Source organism: Homo sapiens, chromosome 8, assembly GCF_000001405.40.
Source record: "Homo sapiens chromosome 8, GRCh38.p14 Primary Assembly".
NCBI lineage: Eukaryota > Metazoa > Chordata > Mammalia > Primates > Hominidae > Homo > Homo sapiens.
In genome coordinates, this window is record NC_000008.11 from 51,440,066 (window position 1) to 51,467,806 (window position 27,741).

At 38.2% G+C, this 27,741-nt stretch overlaps 1 protein-coding gene across 9 annotated transcripts in view; it reads right to left on the minus strand.

Annotated features, from left to right (window-relative positions):
* PXDNL (peroxidasin like) overlaps positions 1-27,741 on the minus strand; it is a 489,869-nt gene that overhangs the window by 120,489 nt on the left and 341,639 nt on the right. For all 9 annotated transcript variants that reach the window (XR_007060701.1, XM_047421364.1, XM_047421365.1 and 6 more), the window contains 4 exons: positions 17,433-17,602; positions 13,454-13,720; positions 8,937-9,053; positions 6,939-7,097 (listed from right to left, as the gene is read on the minus strand). Coding sequence is in view for 8 of the 9 variants with exons in the window: in XM_047421364.1 (XP_047277320.1) it covers positions 6,939-7,097; positions 8,937-9,053; positions 13,454-13,720; positions 17,433-17,602 (713 nt within the window). In the remaining variant the exon portion in view is untranslated. The remainder of the gene's footprint in view (positions 1-6,938; positions 7,098-8,936; positions 9,054-13,453; positions 13,721-17,432; positions 17,603-27,741) is intronic.

Sequence of the window (27,741 nt, forward strand, 5' to 3'; positions counted from 1 at the left end):
CACACACACACACCATGGAATACTACTCAGCCATAAAAGGGAATGAAATAATGGCATTTGCAGCAACCTGGATGGAATTGAAGACTATTATTCTAAGTGAAGTAACTCAGGAATGGAAAACCAAATATCTTACATTCTCACTCATAAGTGGGAGCCAAGCTATGAGGATGAAAAGAGATAATAATGATACAATGGACTTTGGGGATTCGGGGGAAAGGATGGGAGGGTGGTGAGGGATGAAAGACTACACATTGGGTACAATGTACACTGCTTGGGTAATGGGTGCACCAAAATCTCAGAAATCACCACTAAAGAACTTATTCATGTAACCAAACACCACCTATTCCCCCAAAACCTACTGAAATTTAAAAAAATCCATTGAAAAATAATAATAATAATAATAATTCATGTGGCAGTGACCTTTGGGGATATTACCAGTGAAACATCATGAATGAGTCCACACCATCCATGAAAGCTCTCCCACATTGCAGCTATCCCACAACACTCTACATAGCTCACAACACATGTTACCCTTACTTACTGATGGTGCAAATTTATTCAATATTTACCTTCTGCTTACAAAATATATTTTAAAATTAAAAAATAGCTAAAGTATCTATCTAGGAAGGAAATTACACATTTGAGTCTGAATTGGGACACAGAGAAATACCTGAGACCAGGAAGGGCCTGAAAACACAGCAGGGTATTAAGGGGGCTTTTCCAGCTGTCTTAGTGTTGCTGCTAGGGCCTATGGCACAGGGAGAAGAGTGAGATGTGTCCCAGCCATGAGGTGCAGAGGGCCAGCAGGATTGCACTGCCTCTCCCCTGTGGGGCTTACTGAGCAGATCCAGAGCCTGTCCAGGTGACTGTGGGAGAGAGGGACCCATGTTTTTGGGCAGTGCAGTGCTGAGGGGAAGAGACTTCATATGGTTTGGTTCTGTGTCCCCACCCACATCTCACTTTGAATTGTAATAATTCCCACGTGTCAAGGGCTGGACTGGGTGGAGATAATTGAATCATGGGGGTGGTTTCTGCCATACTGTTCTAGTAATATTGAGTTCTCACGAGATCTGATGGTTTTATAAGGGGCTTCCCCCTCTGCTCGGCACTCATTCTCTCTCCTGCCACCGTGTGAAGAGGTGTCTTCTGCCACAATTGTAAGTTTCCTGAGGCCTCCCCAGCCATACAGAACTGTGAGCCAATTAAACCTCTTTTCTTTATAAATTACCCAGTCTCAGGTATTTCTTCATGGTAGCAGGAGAACAGACTAATACAAGGTCCTTCATTTTCTTGTATATGGAGAAGAGAGTTGCCTCCCTTCAAATTGAAAGTGTCACACAGAAGCGGAGACTAGCAATTACTTCCCTAGTTAGATGTCTGCTTGGTCAGTGGACTTGATGACATGGTAGAGGTGAACAGCAGCAGAGAACTAGAAAGCAAAGGCAGAGCTGAGAGACAGAGCAGCATGGCAATGTGACATGCTATAACAAGTCAGTGCCAATTTATTTTAGTGCAAAAAAAATTGAAATCAATGCACAGTTTTTTCCTAATATACATTCTCCATGAACTTTCTGAAGTCCCTCAGTACTGGTACACAGATAGATCACTGTGATGATTACAGCTTGATCACTGTGATGGTTAGTGGTATCCATAGAAAATGGTGACTTAAGCTATCTTTCAAGTAATAAATGCCCTGTAGGACTGTCCATTGAATGAGGAAACCCTATTAGCTGGGGTTGGTTCTAAGAGGAGGTAAGATTGGCTGAAAGACCAAATGCTGGAGCTGGATGTCCCACATCAGGGAATAGAGTACTGGGAGGACTTCAATATGGCCTCTGAATAATACACACATGAAGCCTGGGGGCTGGCCACGCAGAGCACCCTGATGACCAAATAAGGCCACAAAGCAACAGAAGGAGAGGTCGCCACACTGCTGGCTTCCAGTCAGCAGGCTTTTCTTCTCCTTTTTTCTGTACCCTTATTGGGAAGGACACCTCCAGAACAAAACCCATGTGACATGGACCCAGGGTCACTCTTCCATATGTCTACTGAGTTATTATTCCCAACTCTTTTATTATTGAGTTGCTTTCTTTACTGACAGAAAATGATACCTTCTTCCCACATTAATTCCCAGATAAAATGGAACAAATTTGTGGGTTACATATTGTTTTCTAATATACTGTCTGGGTACATTTTAATTATTGTAGGTTTATCATGTGTTTCAGTATCTAGTATGATTAGCCCTCCTTGATTCTGGTTCTTTTTCAGAATTTTCTTGGTTATTCTTTCTTGCATATCTTACCTAATGTTGATGACTTATCACTCAACTCTATGTTAAATGACAGTGATGACAGTAGAAATCTTTGGTCTGTTCCTTTCTTTATGAAAATATTATCTCATTTATTGATTAAGCAAGATTCTAGCTAATGAGTTCAGTAGACCTATTTTATCATGTTAAAGAAATATCTATTCAGACCTATGTTATGAAGAGTTTTTGATGAGAATGAATGTTGAATGTTTAACAAATGCCTTTTTAGTAGCTATGGAAATACTCATGATTCTTCTTCCTAAATCTATTAATATAAAATATGTTAATTAATAAAATATATTCTTTTCTACTACTCTTTTGTTCTTAAATTTCTGGAATAAATACCACTAATGTTTTTAATGTGCTACTGGATTCTTTGATATCTATGATTACATTTATTTATTTTCATTTTGTATTTTCGTGTGGATACGCAAGGGCTTTGCTTTTTTTATTTTTAATTAATTCTTAGAGTTTTATTATCAAGATTATGCTTGTTTTTAAAAAATACCTTATGGCATTAATTATTTTCTAATTCTCTAAGCAATTTAAGTAACATTGGAAATGTTATTTAAAGGAATGATAGTTCCTCCTGGAAAAGCACCTGACCACATGATTTAGTAAAGGTAGCTCTTCCACAGGTTTAACACGTGGAATAATTAACAACCTCTACAGCCATGCCAGAGAGTCATAATTTGAGTATCTGTTCTGTTCTGATCTCTGGCAACTTGTTTTCTCCTTGTAACATTCTGTTTAGATTTCTCTCTCTTTTGACATAAATTTTCATTAGTTACATTTTTCTGTAAAATTACTAATTTTATTCATTGCTTACAAATATTTGCATATAATTATCCAAAATACTAGTGGAAAAAATAAAATGCATAAGTAAGGGTTAGAAGCATCTCTGGAGTGAAAAGACACTGTCAAAAACACATGAGGGATATGAAGACAGATACGAAAAAAGCCAGCTCTTTTTTCATTATGTTTTCATAATGCTCTGAAAACAAAGAGCTAAAAGGGATTGAAGAGAAAGAGAGAGAGCTAGAAATTGGGCAAAGAAGATCAACAGATGAGTGGCACCCAATCATTTTGGCCTCAGGAACCCTTTACTTTTAAAAATTATTGACAAGCACTAAGAGCTTTTATTTACATGGCTTACATGTAGCTATGCTTACTGCATTGGGAACTAAAACTGAGAATTTAAAAATTTATGTGTTCATTTTAAAATTACAATTATAAACTCATGGCATTTTTAAATAACATGTTTTTATGAAAATTAATTATATTTTCTACAAAAAAGTAGTGAGTAGAGTAGCATTGTTTTACAAATCTCAGTAGTAGAAGAACTGCTTTCAAATTCAATCTCTTACAATTAGTTGTTTTGGTTGAAGTCTATGAATAAAATATTACCTCACAAAGACATGTTTTCAAAAGTATAGGAGTATTTTTAAAGATTTTTCAGATAACTGTAAACATTCCTTTATGCTATACCAAAATTTGACAATTGGTAGCTTCTTTTTTTTATTATCCTTTAAGTTTTAGGGTATATGTGCACAATGTGCAGGTTAGTTACAAATGTATACATGTGCCATGTTGGTGTGCTGCACCCAGTAACTCATCATTTAACTTTACTTATCATTTAACTTTAGGTAGCTTCTTTTGACATTTCCTTTATCACACAAACTACTGAAAGTATACGTATGTAAAGGTCAAGATTTAATAAAAGTAATATTTCCCCCTGTTTCATCAATAACAGCATCAAGTAAAATTACTTTTCTTTTTTACTTTCTGCTACAAACAAAGGATATAATGATATACTCCTACCATTTGGCACCCTCTGTCTTGGTTCAGGCTGAGGCTCCAGCAGATTTACCCACCATGACTTTTGCACCATCAGCGCAAATTTCAACCCAGTGAAGAGGCAAATTACTGATACTATTATGAGAAAGTTTTAACCTAGGAAACCCCCTCAAGGGTCTCTGGATCTCCCTCAACCAGCAACCACAGAACACACTTTGAGAAGTACTGCAACATACACAAAATGTGGAGGTTCCCCAAAAAGAAACAAATAATGAGACAGAAGTGATATTAAAAGAATTAATTCAAGAGAACATTCCTTAAATAAAATAGTATCTGATTCTTCATAGTAAAAAAATCACCTAATACCCGAAGGAAATTCAAAACTAAGACACCTTAGGCAGAATAAGACTGTCATAGCACATGAAATTCATGTGCAATATGCCCAAAATATAGTTAAGGAAGCTGATTCCTTAGCTGGAAACAGATGAAGGTTCTGCAAAGTATTACTGGGAACAGGTACTGGGGGGAAAAATATTCCTCATAATCTCAGAGATAAAATGATTCAACCTGCTATACTTTTTCTTGAATTAATTCACTCTTCCATTCCCACCACTGTGATCCTAGTTTATAGATCTCATAACGTGTCACTTGGTGACAGTAGTAGCTCCCGTGGTTTCTGACTTTCATTTTTCTCCACTCCAACCTATCCTATCCTCTTTAGGTTAACAAATATTATTTTTCTATTTTTTTTTTCAACATGGAGTCTTGCTTTGTTGCCCAGGCTGGAGTGCGGTGGCATGATCTTGACTCACTGAAACCTCCACCTCCCAGGTTCAAACGATTCTCCCTCCTCAGCCTCCCACCTCAGCCTCCCGAGTAGCTGGGACTACAGGCACATGCCACCATGCCTGGCTAATTTTTGTATTTTTAGTAGAGACAGGGTTTCACCATGTTGGCCAGGCTGGTCTCGAACACCTGATCTCAGGTGATCCACTAGCCTCAGCCTCTCAAAGTGTTGGGATTACAGGTGTGAGCAACCACCACGCTCGCCCCAGGTTAATGAATATTCTGAATAATCGATCTGATCAAGACTTTCAATAGTTCTATAGTCTGAAGTCTAGATCTGGTGTGTTCCAACTCAACCAACAATCCCAACTAACTCCTTCCATATGGCTCTCACCTGCCACCATTCACAAAATCTGGTGCCACACTTAGGGCTCTTTGTTCTCTAAAACACTTGTTTGCTTCCATATTCATGCCAATTGCTAGTGGTATTTTCTCACCTACGGATATGTAGTAGATTTATCAAATTCTTCTACATATGTCAACTCCTAGATTAAATGGTGTATTCTAACACTAATTTCAACAGGGGCAACTTACAGTGGTCTTAGAGAGTCGACGAAGCCTCCATAGGGAAGTGAAGTGGCTTCTAGATTGAGATCTAAAGCATCAACAGGAGCAAGTCAAGTGAAAGGATTTGGCAACAGGGAAAAATCAAGATGAGGCTCTTTAGTGTCCTTACCTCATATTTGGTTTTAATAATATGTGTGGACTTACTATTGGTCCCATTTTAAAAGATATAATGTAAATACCACCTAATTTTTGGATTTTAGTTGAACACCAATTCAAAAGTAGTTTGAAACATTCTGCAGACAAGCTTTTGGTATTTCCTCTTAGACAGAAAGGTTTGCCAGGGCACGTCATAGCCTGACACCTTTCCACAATTGTATTTTCAAATCTTCCCACTCGTTTGAGTTGCTATTTTCATATCTTCCCTACAATCCTTTTTCCCCCCCGTAGAACCTCAACTTCCTTTAAAAAAAAAAAAAATTTAGTATGTCTAAAATATAAGGGAACCTCAACTTCTTTTTTAAAAAAAACATTTAATATGTCTAAAATATAAGGGGAAAGTAATTGCTAACAGACCATATGTAGACAGTAGCTCAGTGTAGGCCTTCATCTGTGTTCAGGCATCATGAACATGTCAGCATTCCCAGTGCTTCTTCTCACACCTACGTTGATGCATGCAGCAGAGCTTTGCTTTTCCTTCTCCTATGCTCTCATCAATATATGTTACCTCTGAATTGAGATCTAATACGTCAGAACAAATTGTAGCAAATTGTGGAGAGACTTAGGAAATTATATCAAAATGTAAAGCAGTGCTGAAAACGCAGTTTAGGTGCTATGCATTTTGTAATTAAGTTCCATCATTTCACCATAAGCCAGAAACTAAGAAAAAATTTCAGCAGTAATTAATAACAACCATTTTTCATTTTTATATTGGAATTATCTTTAAAAATTCAAATCTTGATTTTTTTCCCTTTTTATATATCAGTTGACAATAAATTATGGATGAATAACACAATCTCATTCCACAATATATATTATGTAGGATAAACCTAAGTACAGTTGTCACATGAAGAGTCTGAAGGGGAGTGTCTTCACTGTATTCCTAATACCACTCAGCATAAAACATACTTCAGTGTCAGAGTGAGATTCAGCACGTCAGGCCGAGAAGCTGCATTCTTTTGTAAGACAGTCTAGGCAAGTAGGACTAATTAATCATAGTAATTGTAAAAAATTTTGTAAGAAAACCTGAAATGGCATTTTTAAGGAAAACATAATCATAATTAGTATGAATGAAAATAGAATTCTAAAAACTGAAGTTATATAAAAGACTGATTGGAAGAAGATATCAAATTTGCATTTCTTAGATCATATGACTATATATATATATATAGTCATATATGTCATAAGATCCCTGTCAGGTGTGTTAAAGACACAGGCAGAAGGCACACTTCAGAATGTGAATATGAATCACAGTATATATTACCTTTGGGTTTTACAGTCAGCTGCACAGACACCTTTTTCACCCCCAACGAACTGACTGCTTGACATTCATATTGGCCTTGATCGTGCTGTGCTGCACGGTCAATTCTCAAAGTGCCAGAGGAGAGAACTGTATGCTGGCCTTCCACAGGGAGCTGCCCTCCTGCAAAAAGAGGTAAAGAAAGTATTCTTCATGGCCCAGAGCACTGAAAGCCAGAGCTGCTGGCTGTCCTGGCTAAAGGGTGAGGCCTGTCTTTCAGGAAATTCTCGGTGCTAGGGTGTACTGTGTGCGTTGTGCCCTAGGATTGCAACCCCAGAAACACAGCACCCCCATGCCGCTTGTCCCCGAAACTCTGCCACTGTATCATAAGGAATTCTCATCTGTCACCAGAACAGCCCAGCCTCCTAATGAATTTTTAATCTTCATGTTTGTGCCCCTCGGCCTTACTATAATCAGAAAGCAAATTTCAAAACCAATCTGATTCTTAAATTTGATTTTCAGATATCTTCGTGACAGTTGTTTATCATGTGTATGCAATATTTGGAATACAATAACGTGATTAAAATACATTTAAAATGCAGAGGCAGCATATCGAAAATGGTGATTTTGTGACATTCATGCTGTTATCTACACAGTCAACCAGAGGCCATTGTACTTTGCACTGCTGAGCTTATATGAGCCTCTGAATCCTTCTTAACACTTTACTCTTATGGTCATTAACAATTAAATGAGATTATAATTTTCAACTAGTTCAGTGAAAACTTGTATCTTATTGAATGTCTTGTTACAGATGGAAAAAGGAATAGCTAACCCTATTGAGCGTACACACACTGTGCCATCAACTATTCTAAATGTTGAAGAGTATAAATTATTCAAATCAAACCCCACAACCACCCTATGATGTAGGAAACGTCATCACCCCCAACACAGCAACAAAGACTCTGGCAAACAGCAGTTAACAGGTTTGCTCAAGGTCACATGATAAGCAAATGGAGGAGTGGAGATGTGAGCCAAGGCTTTATGGTTCCAAAGTCTACCTCCTATCAACTAATCTCATAAAGAATAGAGCAAAAATGTTAAGACAAGAAATTCATAAATGTAGATTTTGAATTTTATTTCGTACCTGAACTAATATGGAAAGTAGGATTCCCAAGCCCGGAGGAACCTTAGACAAGCTCTCATCCAGCCAATCGTCAATCCTGTTCTGTTATGTGCCCAGATTCCCTGTAAGTGTCTGGCGCCTTGGTGGGGCATAGGGGGTTAGATCCTGCCTGCCAGGCCCACGCCCCACCACCCACACTTCAGGAACAGCAGCTCTTTTTTGGAGCTTCACTTCGGATTTCATTTCACTTGTGATTTCATTTTGTACTAGAAGAAAATTATCCCACTGAAAAAAGAAATGTCTAAAACTGCTACACTTGCGGCCGGGCGCGGTGGCTCACTCCTGCAATCCCAGAACTTTGGGAGGCCGAGGCGGGCGGATCACGAGATCAGCAGATTGAGACCATCCTGGCTAACACGGTGAAACCCCGTCTCTATTAAAAATACAGAAAAAGTAGCCGGGCGTGGTGGCGGGCACCTGTAGTCCCAGCTACAGGCTGAGGCAGAAGAATGGCGTGAACCCGGGAGGCGGAGCTTGCAGTGAGCCGAGATTGCACCACTGCACTCCAGCCTGGGCGACAGAACAAGACTCTGTCTCAAAACAAACAAACAAACAAACAAACAAACAAAACAACTGTACGCTTTCCAGTAATTTTATTTTAAAAATCAGGAAACCGAGTCCCAGAGGGGATGATCTCAGGAAGGCCACACACTCAAATGCCAAAACTCAAAACACCACGAAAATTATGATGATGTCATATTTAGATCAAAGATTATTTTCTGTGTAATTTTTTCATGTCCATGATACACCTTCGATAATTAATTTAAACTATTTTTTTTTACTATCCACAAAAGAAGGCACTTATTTTTCCCCACAATTACCTGCAGATGTTCTAATACCTGTTTTTGTCCAGACAATAACAGGAGGTGGGTTGCCGTCAGCTTCACAGAGCCACTCTACAGCATGTTCTTCCAGCACCACTTGATCCTTGGGGGTTACTGTAAATTGTGGAGGAGCTAAAGAGAATGAAACATACATCAAAATTGAAAATTATTTTACAAATTTTCAGTGCCAATAGAAAAAAGAAAATGTCTTCAAATATGTCATGTGATCAGAATTTGTTTACAATTATATATAAACAAGGTTATAAAGAGTGTGGAGGTGCTTCTGTATGTTTGTGCCTGTTTGCAAGGAAGCCAGAAATACACACATCTGGTCTGCAAAGCAAAACAGCAGTAGCCAACAAGAAGAAACCATTTCTAAATCTTACGGCAGCTGTTTCCCATGATTGAATCATATTGGTTATCATTTTAGTAGATGTGATAAACATATTTAAAGCTACAAATTGTACTTTAAACTATTAACAAAACCGTCTTCTCCAAACTTTCACATGCACAATAAAATTTGAAACGAGTTGATCTTTCGATTTCAGAAAGAAAAATAAGCTCCTTAAGATTAATGTTCCTGCAACACTTGAAATTATACTTTTGAAAAAGTCATATTTATGTCAAAATTCAGAGTTCCAAATATTCAGATTTTGTATTATTGCTTTTGTATAAATAAGAAATAGCTAATAGCTGCATATGCCATTCCTGAAAAGGGATTCTGTCCGTGACTCTTTGATTGAATAAAAAAATAAATCAATGTGGCCATTTAAGAAGAGCGCAATGATCCCCAGTAACGCCTAAGTGATCAAAAGAACTTTCGCAGATGACTTTGTAACTGGAAAGGTGTCCCAATCCAGATCCCAAAAAAGGATTCTTGGACTTTGTGCAAAAAAGAATATGAGGCAAATCCATACAGTAAAGTGAAAGCAGGTTTATTAGGAAAGTAAAGGAATCAAGAATGGCTACTCCACAGGCAGAGAAGCAGTATAGGCTGCTGGGCTGAGTATACTTACAGTTATTTCTCGATTATGTGCTAAACATGGGGTGGATTATTTACGAGTTTTCTGGAAAGCGGTGGGCAATTCCCAGCACTTAGAGTTCCTCCCCATTTTAGACCATAAAAGGCAACTTCCTGACATTGCCATGGCATTTGTAAACTGTCCTGGTGCTGGTAGGAGTGTTTTGTAACATGCTAATGCATTATAATTAGCATAAAATGAGCAGTGAGAACAACCAGGGGTCACTGTCATCGCCATCTTGCTTTTGGCAGGTTTTTGCCAGCTCCTTTACTGCATCATGTTTTATCAGCAGGGTCTTTGTGCCCTGTATATTGTGCCAACCTCCTATCTCATCCTGTGACTAAAAATACTAAACCTGCTAGGAATCCAGCCCAGCAGGTCTCATCCTCATTTTACCCAGCCCTCATTCAAGATGGAGTCACTCTGGTTCAAATGCCTTTAACAACTTGACAAATCATTTCTCTGCCTTGTTAGATTTTTGCACAATTCCTACTACCCCCTTCTTTTCACCTGCATCTGGAAATACAAGAAACATGATAAAGTAAATAATATTTGGCAAAGTGTATTTGTTGCAAGTTTCATACTGTGTGCAAGTACTAAAGAGTTTTTTAAAGTCTTCATCCATTCTAAGTAAGGTGCTGGACTAAATATGGTATAAAATAAATTTCCAAGTCACACAAATTCATGGAAACCCTCAGGAATGCCTGCAAGCTATTTGTAATAGAGTTCTAGAAAAGTCAAGCTGGAAAACAGCCCACAAATCAGCAATCTCAGGCTCCTCACTGCACAGATGAGAAAATTCAGACTCTGGGAGGTAGGATTGAATTTCTCTCGGTCAGAACTAATAAGTAGAAAAGATAGTAGAGAATCTGGGCCGCTCAACCCCCAGCCTGATGTTCTTTCCAGAACATTACACTAACTCCCAAAATTACTAGGAACAACTTAAAAAGAACAAAAATATTTCTACATTAAAAAATAGATTCATGACACAGTAAAAGAGCTATATAACAAAAGATGGTAGTAGTTAAGAGAAATAATGTAGTCCTGGTTCTAGTGTTGGGAAATTTGATTTCAACTTTTGAATAATAATAACTTTAATAATTATTAACATATTAAAATTTAATTTTATTTTAATTATTAAAAATATTAACATTTAATAACTTTAATAATAATTAAAGTTCACGGTTAGCCAAGTCTGTGTGAAAAGAATTGTTAAACTTCACGTGTTCTCACTTTTAACAGAACCCAAGATCCACATCTTAGCAAAGCATAGAAAACATTTAAGAAAATAGTCAATTTACATTTGTTTCTAACACTAAAATGAGCAGCTTGCTAGGTCGATGAAGAAATTATGAACATCACCAAAGCAGGCAGAGAAGGTGGAATAATTAGACAGGAATGATGAAGCTGACATCTTTGGGCTTTCCATTTAAAATGATGGCCTTCTGAGTCCCACCTCCAGTGCTAAAATAGCACATGCCGAGATGAAGTGTTTTGCTATTTTATTAAAATCTAAAATTCTGGCTACTCATTAAGGTGCTGCCTCACACACAAAGCATTTTGACTTACACTGTTGATGACCATAGGCCTTTTTACCTATATGTCCACACTGTGATTCATATCTTTCATTGAAGCTTTTTTGTGTCATTTTATTTGTGTTATTTTATTTTAGTCAGTCTAAAAAAGGAAGTTTATCTGTGGATAACTGTGATCTCAGTTTAAATAGACATTAAAAGATCAAGAACATGGATAGAAACCTGTTAAAATGACACAAAAGGATACATCTTAAAATGTTTCATCTATGATTAGGCAAATAAAATCAGCCTTTTAAATAAATGTATAGAATGATTAATGGACCGTTTCAAAATCAATTAAAAATCTGGGCACACAGATCCAAAAGTGACACAAGTAGATGGTCACAAATAACAAAGGACAAGCAGATGGCCATTTCAGTGCAAACTCACTGGCAACAAGAAATCATTAGCATATTGTGGTAGAAGAAATAGGCAGGATGGTAAAGGTTACCAGAGTTCTGTTAAGCAATGACTGACGCAGATGGGCAGATGGAAGCATAGAAAGGAAGTACATGGAAAAAGCTGAGAAACAAAAGCCTAGCACAGTGTGGAATACAGGCAACCACTAAAGTGTGAAAGTGATCAGGCGTTAGGTTTCTAAAAAACAGACATTGAACACAAAATGATGTAAGCAAAACAAAACCCAAACACAGTTTCTTTGAAGGTATTTTTCAATCTCAACATATTAAAAGTTTAAAAATAACGTTTGGGTCCTTTAAAAGTAATTTCCCCCAGAAGTTACCAAAGACCTCAAGAAAATATTTCATTTCTGTGCCTTCTTATTAGAGCAAGGAAAGTATTTTTGGGATATTAGCAGTTCTAGGGAAAAACACAATTTTTTTTCCTGAGACATGTAAATAGGAATAAGAAAGTATTGATCTATTGCTATTAAAGGAGTTGATGCTAAACAGTTCAATTTAGAAAACATTCTCTGAATGCAGGAAGACTAGGCTGGAGGAAGCCTTGTGCTTTGTGGGGGCCAAGATCACTCTTGGGGCCACTGGGGCTCACTGTTCTGAAGCCCTCCCAACCCAGGCACTGCACTAGGCTGGCCACTTCCCTTTTTCTCTGTTCTGTGTTTCACACGGTTCAGTGTTTTGGTAGATAACATCCTATGCAAATCTTAAAATAATGAAACTTAACTCAATCAAAATATGCACATATCAGGAAGCCCCTAAAACGGATCATGTAAATTACCGTACTCTCATCAACTGATGAAAAACTAGTTTAGAAAAAACTGGACCTTTGATATGACTCCAATAGCACTTATATTCTGCTGTTTACTAAACTCTAACCCTACAGGAAGATGGCATGCAGGCACACATGCACACACACACAAACGCACACACACAAACACACACACACACACACACATGCACGCACACACACCAGAAAGGGGCCACCCCAGGCTGAGAACCAAAGTACAAAGAAGAATGTGCCTTCTTTATAACACGATTGCATGCCCATGCATATAAATTAATTTCTGGATTCAGAATAGTTTTACTATTGCTGTTGTTACGCAGTCTGGCCTCGTAGGAGCCTTCAGCATGTCCTCAAGCTCTGTTGAGTAGACAGTTTGGTAAGTGACTATGAACACAGGGCACAGCCTTTTCACTTTCATATCTGTACTGTCTTTCCTGTATCTGTGAAATATTCTGAAGCACAAATATCTCTTGACAGTTTCCTTCCAGATTAATGACTCCATCTCTTTTGTTGCTAATGGTTGAGTCTGACCTTTGGATAAAGATTGAAGTAGGAAAGAAAAAAAACAACTTTTAACTTGAAACAGATTAGCTTTGAAAATCTTATTGTGTCAAAAAATAATTGGCAAATAAAAATATTTCTCCACTGATGTACATGACATTATTTAAGTTGAAAAATAATTTTCTGAGTGTGGCAGGAGGAACATTTCAATCATGACCTTCTGCTCCCATACCTTGTACAATTATGTTTGCTGCAGCTTGAACAGTGCCGTGGCTATTGTTGGCATGACAGGTAAATCGACCATGATCCCGTTGTGTGATGTTCTGTAAGTAAAGTCCACTGGACGTTGCCACGTGCCTGGATCCATCCAGCTCCAATCCATTGTCCCTGGTCCAAGTGATAAGAGGGTGTGGGTGGCCTGTGGCCATACATTCCAAAGTTGTGCTGGTGCCAATTAAAACCTCTGTGTCCTGAGGCTGGATTACAAAGCTTGGTTTGGCTGATGGTAAAGGGGGAACAAAACGAAATCCAGCAAGTAGCAGTTAGGAAGATTTATTTATTCTGCATTGTGGTTTTAAGATTATTGTCATTTTCAAAATTCCTTTAAACTAAAATATTACACATATATATATATACACATTTAATTCCCAGAAAATTAAATCTAAAATAATGAAATGTGGATTTGCTGTAAGTACATACTTTTTTAAAAAGATTGCTTGCCTTGATATCACGATGTGTTATAGATACTGCAAAGCACCTACACAATACATATTCCTTATTTTAGGGGTTAAATGTTTAAACATTCCTTCTTAAGAATACTCACATTTTTTTAAACACAGTTTAGGCACATGTCACTGGGAATAAATAAAAGTGCTAAGTTTAAGTAGTCATTTCTTCCTCCTGTTTGCTACCTGGAATTCGGGCAGGAATGCCTTTGGGTTACAGGAGCCACTTTGTGATTAAGAGGTGAAAATTATGAGGAATAAAGAAACCTATGTGCAAAGCAGATCAAAAAGCAGAAAGAAGAATATTATTGGCTCACTATAGGTAATGTGGCAGCTCTGTGACAGATTACCCTTGTCCTACTTGTGGCATACAATTAAAATATGCACAGACACAAACACACACACATAGAAGCTATGCATTTAAGCCATATCTAGCCAAGCTTTCAGTTACTTTCAGCTAAACGTATTATAAATTGATTCATCAAGTATACATGTAAATAGAAAATTTAGACTTTCATATAAGGAGTTCCACTCTTACAAATTCATAGGAGTTTCTCTTTTCTGGGAATCTCAAGCAAAAATTAAATATTTGCTAAGGTGTTAAAAATGCCTAATGATTGATTCTAAGTTTGGGGAAGGGGGATCAACCATTCCTGAGATGAACATATTCTGGAAAGTGGAAATAAATTAAATTAATCCAATTCAACAATAAATGTTTAATTTAATTCCTAACAATATCGAATGTCTTAAGTATATTAGTAACATACTGGATGTTGGAAAGATACAGAGATGAACAAACACACTCCTCCTTGTGTGCTCCTACTCTAGCTGCATGAACAGAGGACAGAACACATCATCTGTAAAACCACAACATGCCTCGGAAAGAATTGTCTCAGAGTTAGGTGTAAATGTGATAGGAGAACATTCTGGCAAGAGGTAAGGGAAAAATTAGCCGGGCGCGGTGGCGGGCGCCTGTAGTCCCAGCTACTCGGGAGGCTGAGGCAGGAGAATGGCGTGAACCCGGGAAGCGGAGCTTGCAGTGAGCCGAGATTGCGCCACTGCAGTCCGCAGTCCGGCCTGGGCGACAGAGCGAGACTCCGTCTCAAAAAAAAAAAAAAAAAAGAGGTAAGGGAAAGTATAGGGAAAGTTATTATAATAATTGAAATAAATGTTCCGAGGTAAGTCAGTGGCAGTAGAACTGGAAAAGGAGATAATCTGATGCATGCATGGAACTAAATTTTTAGAGAATTGTGGAAGAAGGAGTAGCACTAGAGGGTGAATCAGAGGTTACTGGAGGAGAGTAATGATACCAATAGAGATAGCAAACACAGGATGCTGTGGGTTTGTGTGGGCAAATGTGTTTGACAGATGTAAAGATTTACATGTGAAGATAAAAACAAAGTCCTGGCAATGTCCATTGAAATCTCAGGAAGGATCTCAGCAATAAAGACTATAAATTTTACATGAAGTATGAAAGCTGAAGGTTTGGGAAGAGCTCAGATGGAAGAGGAAAAAAATGTGATTAGGGCACGGGGGACTAGAGAAAGGGAGGGGAGGACAGCGCTATAAGGAACACCACATTTTAGGCAGGCAAAAGAGATTTAAAAAGAGAATTGAGGACATTAGGAAAGGATCAAGAGGAAGTCGTGTTCTCAAAGTAGAAATGCTCCTGTGTGCAGGGTCAGACTTGACCTAGAGGCAGAAGGGAAGGAGGCTTTGGAAGGAGACAGTGGTGTTTCAATCAGAAATTACTTGGTGTAATCCCAGCACTTTGGGAGGCCTAGGCAGGAGGATCACTTAAGGACAGGAGTTTCAGTCTGCAGTGAGCTATGATCATGCCACTGCACTCCAGCCTGGGTGACAGAGTGAGACCTTGTCTCTACAAACATTTTTTTAAATAAATTACTTGGAAACTATGTGAGGAATTATCATATTCAATCAATCGCTAACTCAAGTGTCTTTTTTTCCTGGAAAACCTCTTGATTCACTGCAATTTCCTCCATTCACTTTGCCACTACCCTATCCATGCCACCACCAACTCTCTTCTGCCCTGTGGCAATTGCCGCTGCTGACTTCCTCATCCTGACATGCCTATCTTACCATGCCCTCCTGTTTGTTCTCTGAACTGCCACCAGAGACATTTTTCTAAAAGAAAAATCTAATTTTAATCATCTCAGTGTAGCGTCATGAATACCCTGAGTGATCTGACCCCACTTTATACCTCACCAAATCTCGTGTCATTCCCAGCCTCTCCTCTGTATGCTCCAGGATCTCCATCTCTTGAATGTGCCTTGCTCTGTCTTCCCTATGCTGTCTTTTCTCCTGAAATGATGCTTCAACCCTACTTCTCTGGCTCTCTCCCACTTGTTGTTGCTTTCAACTTAAAGGTCAATGCTCTTGGGAAGACCTGAATGAATGCAATCCTCCGAGGCTGCTGCTTCAAGTGCTCCCCTCCACTGGGATGGGCTGGAGCCGGCTCTGGAGAGCCAGTTGTCAAATTTTCAGTATTCTGCAAGCTGACTGCTACACAAAGCCATTCTTAAAATTTTAACTAAATAAACTTACAATCAAATAAATTTTATTAGCATCAAAACTAACAAATTCATCCCTATTTTTTACTACATTTTATTATTATCTTCGGTCTCAGGGTTATTATGCCTACTGTGTCTGCACGCTAGAAGTGCTATATTATGATGAACTTCTGTGCATCTCTTCCCAACTCCACATTCAGTGATATCATTTCGGTAACTAGGAATTGGCCATGGTGAGATTATTTATAGAACAGATACTGACAAATGCTGCAAATCAGGGCTCCCTGCTCCTCAGAGCCAATTTACAAACATTTACCAGCACACAACTGTCCTTTATGCTTCTCTCCCTCTCCTTACACATCATAAAACTTATTTCTTGAATTATGGCTATCATCTAATAGATGATGGGCTCAGTAAGGTGAGAGACAATGTATTTCCACCATGTCAACATGCTATTAATGAAAATTTGTTGCAGTCATTATGTCTGGTTTATATAAGCCACTGAAATTATGACAAAGCAAAGCCCCTGGAAAGTTGAATAAGGAACGTGGTTGATAACCATGCAATCTTCAACAGCTAGCTCAGTGGGCATTCAATAAATATGTGTTGGATTAATTCATGATGAATGAATGATTGAATGAATTTTTGAAAAGAGTAATATTCCTGCCTAAGTAACACTGGTTCACTCTGCATAAGGATGCTGGATAGCTGGATGGGGAATCAAAAGGAGAATAGAAAAGTCTTGGAACCACAATGTGCTGTACCAGAAAGGAACTAAGGCAGGAAATTAAAATAAACTTCAAGAGAAAAAAATTCAAGTTTCTCTAAAACAAAATTTAAAAAATCACAGTCAATGGGAATAGTTTCACTTTGAAGTATTACATACTCTAAAGCAGCAATATTAGATCATTTTCCAGTGCAGATAATTGATAGAACTAGAAAATAATAGTTTTACCTGGAAGACTGGAGTATCTGAGCATGGCACTCTGTGTCTTGGCTTCCCCAGCGGAATTTCTGGCCATGCACTGATAGACACCTTGGTCTGACTCTCTGGTGTTTCGGATCATGAGTGTGCCATCATCAAACACATTAAGTCGAGTATCATCTTCCAAATCCAATGAGTGGCTGGAAATATAGGTTATACATGTATATTATTTAATCCCATTCATGTTTAAAACTCTTAACAAGACTGAGAATATAGTACTATATAGCTATGTTTCATGTCTACCAAATTTGTTAAATTTATTTTATCTGAATAATTTTAATTATTTCACTTTAAATCCTAGTTATCTTGTTCCTATTTCAAGAATACACCCTGAACAAAGGCTCTGAGTCAACATTTGATAGAGGGAAATGAGGTTGAGATGTTCTGCCTTCCTGAGTGGCATGAATTTAGACACTGAAGCAAGCGCTCCCATATGACAGACACTTCAGCACATTTTTATATATTTGAATGCCCACTTTTCAGAAAAGAAATCACCAGATGGTAATATGTAATCCTTTTACCTCCTTCCATGAGTCATTCAGTATTCTTTCATATTTTGTTAAAGTGTAAAAAAAATATTCCTATTCAAACCAGCACGGGCTCAAAGCCAAGTATAATTATATGACTAAGCAATAAATAACAAACCTAACCTACCAAGTTGTTGAATATTAGGCCCCCTTCTCTGAGGTGCACCATTTGGATATACTAGGAAAGTCCCATTTATCAATTAAGTGCATAATCCATTGAGTGCAAGTAGGTTCAGATGTGCAACACCATATCACATCAATAATCATAAGAAAGGGAGGGCCTGCATGAGTTATTTTTAACAATAAATGCAAAGCTACTGACACAGAAACATATGTTAGAAATGTTTACAGATTTTTTTTCTGGCAAAGATTTTTTTCCTTTAAAAATATTTAATGATTATGTATGAGAAGGTATATAGATTTTCACATGTGTACACTTAGTACTAATGAACGTTTTAGGCATAGATAAAGGAAATCTACTCTCCTCCATCTTCATCACTCAATACATATTTTCTAAACACCGATGTTTTGTCACCCATAAAAACATCATTCCCAGAAAAGAAAAAGTGCATTAGGAGAATTCCATAGTTCTCCCTTTAACTCATGTATTTGTTTTATAAAGCCAGGTAAACATTTTCCCACTAATTTCAAAATGTACCCACACTAAAGAATAACAGCCTATTCCCACATAGGTAAAAACAGTAAAGTTTGTTAAAGAGATGAATAAATTGTCATTCTTATCTAACCATTTTTTGTTGTGAAAGATAAGAAAGAAACAGACAATGGCCATATTTGACTTTTATGTTTTAGAGCGGAATCACAGAGTGAAGGCAGGAAAGATGAAGACAATCTGATCTTCTTCAGCTATTGGGTATAAAAACCCAATGTGAAGAAGTACCAATTAGCCAAAAAAGAAATTCGAGTTGTCATTTTTGAACAGATTAGTTTCAGAAAAAACAGGCATGCTTTTGAAAAGCCAGCAATGCAAGACAAAGGCAAGAAAAGGAGAAACTGGATGCTCCTATCCATATCACCCGTGAAGTTTCTCAGTGTAAGTAGCATGAAACGAACATCAGAAAGAATGTTTTTTCAAGGCCAGGTGCAGTGCCTCATGCCTGTAATCCCAGCACTTTGGGAGGCCAAGGCAGGCAGATCGCCTGAGGTCAGGAGTTCAAGAAATAATATTTTTTCTTAAAGTTCCCCATTCAAGGGGCTCATTTAGTATTAAGCAATTTAATTATTTTAAATGCAATTCTAAAATTATCTAACACTGAACCCAAATAAGACTACTTGCAAAGGAATATGACAAATGATGAAATCACATTTTTCAGAAGGTGATTTAAGTTCCTGGAATTTTGTTCCAAAACTTTGCAGCCCAAAATTTCAAAGGCTACCAGATGTGTATGTGCTATCTATCATCTGGCTACACAATGCAATAGAATTCACCAGGATTCATTATGTTAAAAATGATATAAAACAGGCAGTAGCACATCACACCCATAAATTCAAAATGCATCATTCCTTTTCCTAGTAATTTCCCTCTTTGTCCATAACCTCTTCGTTATGCTCATAAAACTTGTTTGCTCATGAATCATGATGTTCCTTCCCAAAAAATCAAAGTCTTCATGTTTCAATATATTCCATTCACATTGTCAGTTTGATGCAAATAGCAATCATATGTAAAAACACAAAGGTTTGCAGAGGTAGAATATATCTGAATATATTCTATTTTTCCTTGAAAATGTACAAATAAACATATTTGATTTAATGAAGACATACAAATAACTTCTATTAAGGTGTTTCATTACAACAGTCATTTGTTAAGTGCTTTCTAAGAACTAGGTGCTGTAGCTAGATACCAGAAATATTGACAAACAAGTTATCACCACACAAATTAAAACTATCTTCTATGGTCACGCACAGTGACTCACACCTGTGATGCCAGCACTATGGGAGGCTGAGGTGGGAGGATTGCTTGAGGCCAGGAGCTTGAGACAAGCCTGGGCAACACAGTGAGACCCTGTCTCTACAAAAAAAATCTAAAAATTAGCCAGATATGGTGGCATAAGCCTGTAGTCCCAGCTACTTGGAGGCTGAGGTAGGAGGATTGCTTGAGCTCAGAAGTTCAAGCCTGCAGTGAACTATAATTGTGCCACTGAACTCCAGCCTGGGCAACAGAGTGAGACTGTCTGTCTCAAAAAAAAAAAAAATCTTCCATATACAAAACCACCATCAACCACAAATTATAGTATAGTTGTAAAGTTTGCTTATAATCTACTGGAACTGTCAATCATATTTACCATGTTTACTAGAATATGAATTTATTTAGAATGGCCTAAATTTCCATAGCTAAACCTCAACATTATGAAAAGTGTGGAAGACAGCCAACTAGATGCAGCCAGGAAGCCCTTCTCCCACCAAGAGAAGCCAAAATACTGAAAAAGCCATCACACTTTAAACAGATCTTTTGAGGGAAAACACTGAGAGTTGCTAGAGGGGAAACACAGCCACTGAGGCTGAATAGGATGGAAGCTGGGAAGCCTGCACAGAGTCGCCAAGTGCCAAGACCCGTTCCTAGTCCTGATCAGGTCCTAAAGAAGAGGTGAGTGAAGGAAACTGCAGGGCACCACACCCCCACAATGGACCTCTGGGATCCTAGCTGCAAGAGATCCCACGACCCCCATAGACATTTTAATTGGTGGAGGATCTGCCGGAGAGAAGGCAGAGGCAGAGCATGAGCCTGCATGGAGCCCAGGTTTTACACACGGGGCAACTCCAGCAAAATGTGACCATAGGTGCCCATGCCCCAAGGCTCTCCATCTTGCTCTGAGTCACTCCAGCCCCTGCTGACTGCTGGGCTGGGATAGAGCAGGGCTGCCTTTCCTACAGGACTGGGACCAATCTGATCTGCATGCTCCCTTGTCTCTGGACCCTCCCAAGGCACCCACCCAGCTGCTCCCATAAAAGCATGCACACTACACAGCCTCCACTACCCAGGGTGAGTGCTTTGCCAGCAGCCTGAGAGCACTACAGCCTCCCCAGCACAGCCAGTGCTAGACCCCAAAGGGCTAAAGGACAAAACCACAGGCCCAATCCCACCCTCCCAGGGTCTAGGCACACAGCTGAAGGATATCAAGCTGAGATCTGTGACTAGAGATTGAGCAGAGGAGGAACTGCCAATCTCAGAACACTGAGAAGAGTGAAATGCAGATTTGTGTTCTGGCACAGGAGCTGGGTGTGCTTCCCCGCCACAGGGCTAGTATGGGAAGGGTGTGACCTTTCTGCTAGCCACAGCCTCTGCCTGAGGGAGCTCCATGGCCTGAAACACCTGACAGCCCAGCGATCTGGGTGCAGAAGGCTTGGGATAAAACCAGCAGATGGAGTAAGCTAGAGGGCAGCCACCAGGAGACCTAGTCAAAGGAGCACAGGCTGGGCAGTCCCTGCAGCCATCTGCTGGGCAAAAAACCCAAGCCGTGGGCACTACACCAACTGCATAGCCAAAACAACTCCACCATGCCTGGGGTCCTCTGCCATTGACCTCCTACACAAACACACCACCCATAGACATATCACAAAGCACAGAGGACCAGTGGGCCCCTAGGGAGCTGCAAGTCTCGTGATAAGCTATCCTTTGGCTCGGGTTTCCCCTAAGAGTGAGGGTAGAACAGCCTGTCAGGGCCCCTTTGGGCCTAAGAAAATGTAGGTGTGTCAACAGTGATTGGAGGAGGGTCTTCCAAGGCCCAGGAATAGACTTGGCAAGGAAGTATATCTCTCACTTCCTGTCTCCCCCACCCCTAGAGCACTGTAGCAAATAAGAACAAGCTGAAATACAAAAGAAGTGCATAGCTGAGGAAGAGTCTGTCAGCCCTTACTCTTAAGCACCATCTACTCAATTGCAGCCTGAAATACACCACCAAACAAAAATTCTTTCAGCACATATCACCCATGAAACACGATGCAAAAATCTAGCCACAAATTAAGTTCCCACACAGGGCCTTGATATTTAGAAAGCACACAGAAGCAAAGTCATTCAATGATATTCAACATACACCACAGTCAAAACCTCAAGGGAAATAACATAAAAACAAAAAGCCCCATACAACTGACAGCAACTTCAAAGAGATAAAGGAACACCAGCCCTCTCAAATGAGTAAGAATCAGTGCAAAAACTCAGGCAATTAAAAAAGTCAGAGCATCTTATTACTTCCAAATGACTGTACTGACTCCCCAGCAATGGATCCTAACCAGATTGAAATGGCTGAAATGACAGACATAAAATTCAGAATCTGGATGGCAAGGAAGCTCAATGAGATAAGGAGAAAGTTGAAACCTAATCCAAGGAAGCCAATAGAATGACTCAATAGTTGAAAGATAATGTAGACATTTTAAGAAAGAACCAAATTGAACTTCTGGAATTGAAAAAATCACTACAGGAATTTCATAATACAGTTAGAAGCATTAACAACAGAACAGACCAAGCTGAGGCAAGAATCTCAGAGCTCAAAAACTGGTTCTTTGAATCAACCCAGTCAGACAAAAAGAGAGAAAAAAGAATTAAAAAGAAGGAATAAAATCTCTGAGAAATATGGGATTACATAAGGAGACCAAACCTACAATTCATTGGCATTCCTGAGAGAAAATGAAGAAGAGTAAACAACTGGGAAAACATATCTGAGAATATAGTCCACAAAAATTTCCCCAATATTGCTAGAGACATCAGCATGCAAATTCAAGAAATTCAGAGAATCCCTGCAAGATATTACACAAGATGCCCCCAAGACACACAGTCATCAGATTCTGTGAGGTCAACATGAAAAAAAAACCTAAAAGGGTTAGATTTCTTACAAAGGGAGCCCCATAGGGCTAACAGCAGACTTCTCAGCAGAAACCTTGCAAGCCAGAAGAGATTTTGGACCTTTTCTCAAAATACTTAAAGAAAAGAAATTCCAACCAAGAATTTCATATCCAGCCAAACTAAACTTTATAAGTGAAGGATAAATAAAATTCTTCCCAGACAAGCAAATGTTAAGAGAATTAGTTAACACTAGAACAGCCTTATAAGAGGACCTTAAGGGAGTTCTAAACATGGAAACAAAAGAATGATGCCTACTATCACCAAGACATATTTAAGTACATACCCCATAGATAGACCCTATAAAGCAACTACACAGTCAAGCCTACCAAACAACAAGCTAAACAAGAAGATCAAAACATCACATATCAATATTAACCTTGAATGTAAATAGTCTAAATGGTCCATTAAAAAGGCACAGAGTGGCAAGTTGGATTTTTAAAAAGACCCAATCTTTTGCTGTCTTCAACAGACTCATCTCACATGTAATGACACTCAAAGGCTCAAAGTAAAAGGATGGAGAAAGATTTCTCATGTAATTGGAAAACAAAAAAGGGTAGGAGGTTGCTATTCTTACATAAGATAAAATGACTTTAAACCACCAATTATAAAAAAAGGACAAATAAGGGCACTACATAATGATAATTAGTTCAATTCAACAAGAAGGCAAAGAAATTCTGAATTAAATTTGACACTTGACCAACCAGACTTGATAGATAGCTACAGAACACTTTATCCAATAATAACAGAATATACTTTCTTCTCATCTGTACATGGAAGATGACCATGTACTTAGCCATAAAGCAAGTCTCAATAAATGCAAAAACATCAAAATCATACCAACCATACTCTCAGACACAGTGTAATAAAAATAAAAAATGAATACCAAGAATATCTCTCAAAATACGGAAATTGAACAACTTAATCCTGAATGACTTTTGGGTAAACAACAAAATTAAAACAAATCAAAAAATTCTTTGAAATTCATTAAAATAGAAACACAACATACCAAAATCTCTAGAATGCAGCAAAAGCAATGTTAAGAGGAGAGTTTATAAAGCTAAAAGCCTACATGAAGTTAAGAAAGATCTCAAATTAACAATCTAAAGGAACTAAAAAAAAAAAAAACCTAAAATAAACTAACCCAAAAGTGAAGCAGAAGAAAAAATATAACTGACTGGGCACAGTGGCTCATGCCTGTAATACCAGCACTTTGGGAGGCTGAGGCAGGAGGACTTTTTAAGCCCAGGAGTTTGAGACCAGCCTAGGCAATGCAGCAAGACCCTGTATCTACAAAAAATGAAAATATTAGCTGGGTGTGCTGGCATGTGCCTGTAGTCTCAGCTACTCAGGAGCCTGAGGTGGAATGATTGTTTGAGCCCGGGAGGTCAAGGCTGCAGTAAGCCATGGTTGCACCATTACAATTTAGCCTGGGTGACAGAGTGAGACCCCATCTCTAAATCAGAGCAGAACTACATGAAACTGAGACACAAGATCCATACAAAAGATCAATGAAACCAAAAGTTGGTCATTGGAAAGGATAAAGAGGATTGCTAGAACATTGGCTAGATTAACAAAGAAAAAAAGAGAGATGTTTCAAATAAGCACAATCAGAAATGACAAAGATGATACTACAACAATTCCCACAGAAATACAAAAGACCAGAGAGTCTATTAAGAGGAAATGGACAATTCCCATAAACACACAACCTCCCAAATTAAACCAGGAAGAAGCTGAAACCCTGAATAGATAAATAATGAGTTCTGATACATGGGCACAGGGAGGGTAACATCACACACCAGGGCCTGTCGCGGGGTGGGGAGCTAGGGGAGGGATAGCATTAGGAGAAATACCTAATGTAGATGACAGGTTGATGGGTGCAGAAACCACCAAGGCACATGTATACTTATGTAACAAACCTGCACGTTCTGCACATGTATCCCAGAACTTAAAGTATAATAATAACAATAATAATGATAATGAGTTCTGAAATTGAATCTGTAATAAAAATCCTACCAATCAAAAAAGGCTTGGACTACATGGAGTCACAGCCAAATTTTACCTGACATACAAAGAAGAGCTTGTGCGAATTCTACTTTACCTATTCTAAAAAGTCAAGGAAGAAGGATCCTCCCTCGCTCATTCTATGAAGTGAATATCATCCTGATACTAAAATCTGGCAGAGACACAACAAAAAAGGAAACCATGGGCCAGTATCCCTGATAAACATAAATCCCAAAATCCTCAACAAAATGCTAGCAAACTGAATCCAGCAGTACATCAGAAAGTTGATTTACCATGACCAAGTAGGCTTTATTCCTGAGATACAAAGTTGTTTCAACATATGCAAATCAATACATGTCATTCACCACATAAACAGAATTTTAAAAAATTATATGATCATCTCAATAGATGTGGAGAAAGCTTTCTATAAAATCCAACATTCCTTCATGATAAAAAAAAAACCTCAACAAACTAGGCGTCAAAGCAACATACCTCAAAATAATAAAAGCCATCAATTACAAACCCACAGCCAATATCATACTGAATGGGCAAAAGCTGGAAGCATTCCCCTTGAGAACCAAAACAAGACAAGAATGTCCACTTTCACCATTCCTATTCAACATAGTACTGGAAGTCCTAGCCAGAGCAATCAGGTAAGAGAAGGAAATAAATGACATCCAAATAGAAGAAAAGTCAAACTATCTCTATTTGCTGATAATATGATTCTATACCATGAAAACCCTACACTCCACCAAAGCCTCCTAGAACTGATAAAGGATTTCAGTAAATTTTCAGGATACAAAATCAATGTGTAAAAAATAGTAGCATTTCTGTACACCAATAATGTTCAAGCTGAGAGCCACATCAAATATGTAATCTCACTTACAATAGCCACAAAAAGAAAAAATATCTAGAACTACATCTAACCAAGTAAGTGAAATATTGCTGCAAGGAGAACTCAAAACATTGTTGAAAGAAACCACAGATGACACCAATAAATAAGAAAGCATTTCATGCTCATAAATTGGAAGAATCAATATTGTTCAAATGGCCATACTGCCCAAGGCAATTTACAAATTCAATGCTATTCCTATCAAAACACCAATGTCATTTTTCACAGATTTAGAAAAAAAAAACCTATTCTAAAATTCATATGAAACAGAAAAAGAGCCTGAGTAGCCAAAGCAATTCTAAGCAAAAAGAACAAAGCTGGAAGCATCACATTATCCAACATCAAACTATTCTACAAGGCTACACTAAACAAAACATGGTGCTAGTACAAAAACAGAAACATAGACAAACAGAACAGAATAGAGAACCCAGAAATAAAACTGCACCTCTACATCCATCTGATCTTCAACAAAGTCAACAAAACTAAGCAATGGAAAAGGATTCCCTATTCAATAAATGGTGCTGGGAGAACTGGCTATCCATATGCAGAAAGATGAAACGAGACCCCTATATATCACCATATACAAAAATCAACTCAGGATGGATTAAAGACTTAAATATAAGACCTCAAACTGTAAAAATTTTAGAAAACCTAAGAAATACCCTTCTCACCATCAGTCTTGGCAAAGAATTTATGGCTAAGTCCTCAAAGCAATTGCAATGAAAACAAAAATTGACAAGTGGGACCTAATTAAACTAAAGAGCTTCTGCACAGCAAGATAAACTATCAACAGAATAAATAGACAACTTACAGTCTGGGAGAAAGTATCCACAAACTACACATCTGACAAAAGCCTAATATCCTGAATCTACAAGGAACTTAAACAAATCAACAAACAAAACACAAATAACCTTATTAATAAGCAGGCGAACTACAAGAACAGACACTTCCCACAGGAAGGCACACAGGCAGCCAACAAACTTATGAAAAAATGTTCATTATCACAAATCATCAGATAAATGCAAATCAAAACCACAGTAATATGCCATCTAGCACCTGCCAGAATGGCTTTCATTAAAAAGTCAAAAAATAACAGGTCTTGTTGGGGCTGCAGAGAAAAGCTAATGCTTCCACACTGTTGGAAATGTAGATTAGTTTAGCCACTGCAGAGAGCAGTTTGAAGATTTCTCAAAGAAGTAAAAGTTGAGCTACCATCCAACACAGCAACCCCATTACTGGATACCCAAAGAAAAATAAATCCTTCTACCAAAAAGACCCATGTGTCTGTATGTTAATTACAGCACCGTTAGCAATAGCAAAAACATAGAATCAACACAGGTTCCTATCAATGGTGGACTGGATAAAGAAAATGTACTACATACACACCTTGGAATACTGTGCAGCCATAAAAAAGAATGGAATCATGTCCTTTGCAACAACTTGAATGCAGTTGAAGGCCATTATGCTAAGTGAACTAATGCAGGAACAACAACGACAACAAACAAATTCTGTTTGTCTTTACAAACTTACAAATATTCTCATTGTAAGTGAGAGCTAAATATTGTAAGTCTACAGACCTACAAATATTCCCACTTGTAAGTGGGCACTAAATATTGGGTACATATGGACATAAAGATGGGAATATTAGACACTGGGGAATACATGATGGAGAGGTAGGGAGGGACATAAGTGTTGAAAAACTACCTATTTGTTACTATGCTCACTTCTTGGGTAGTGGTTCTGTCATATTCCAAACCTCAGCATCATGTAGTATACCTTTGTAACAAACCTGCACTTGTACCTCCAGAATGTGCAATAAAAGTTGAAAAAGAAACAGAAAAGTCTGGTTGGCTTTTAAATCTCTTTCATCAAGTCATTGTCTTGCTCAACATCTTCTAATGGGTCTCAAAGTTTATAAACTGAAAGCCCAAGTCATTAGTTTTGCCATTATTATGCAATCTTTTTCTATTTCTCCCCAAGGTAAAACCTTAATTCTCACAAATT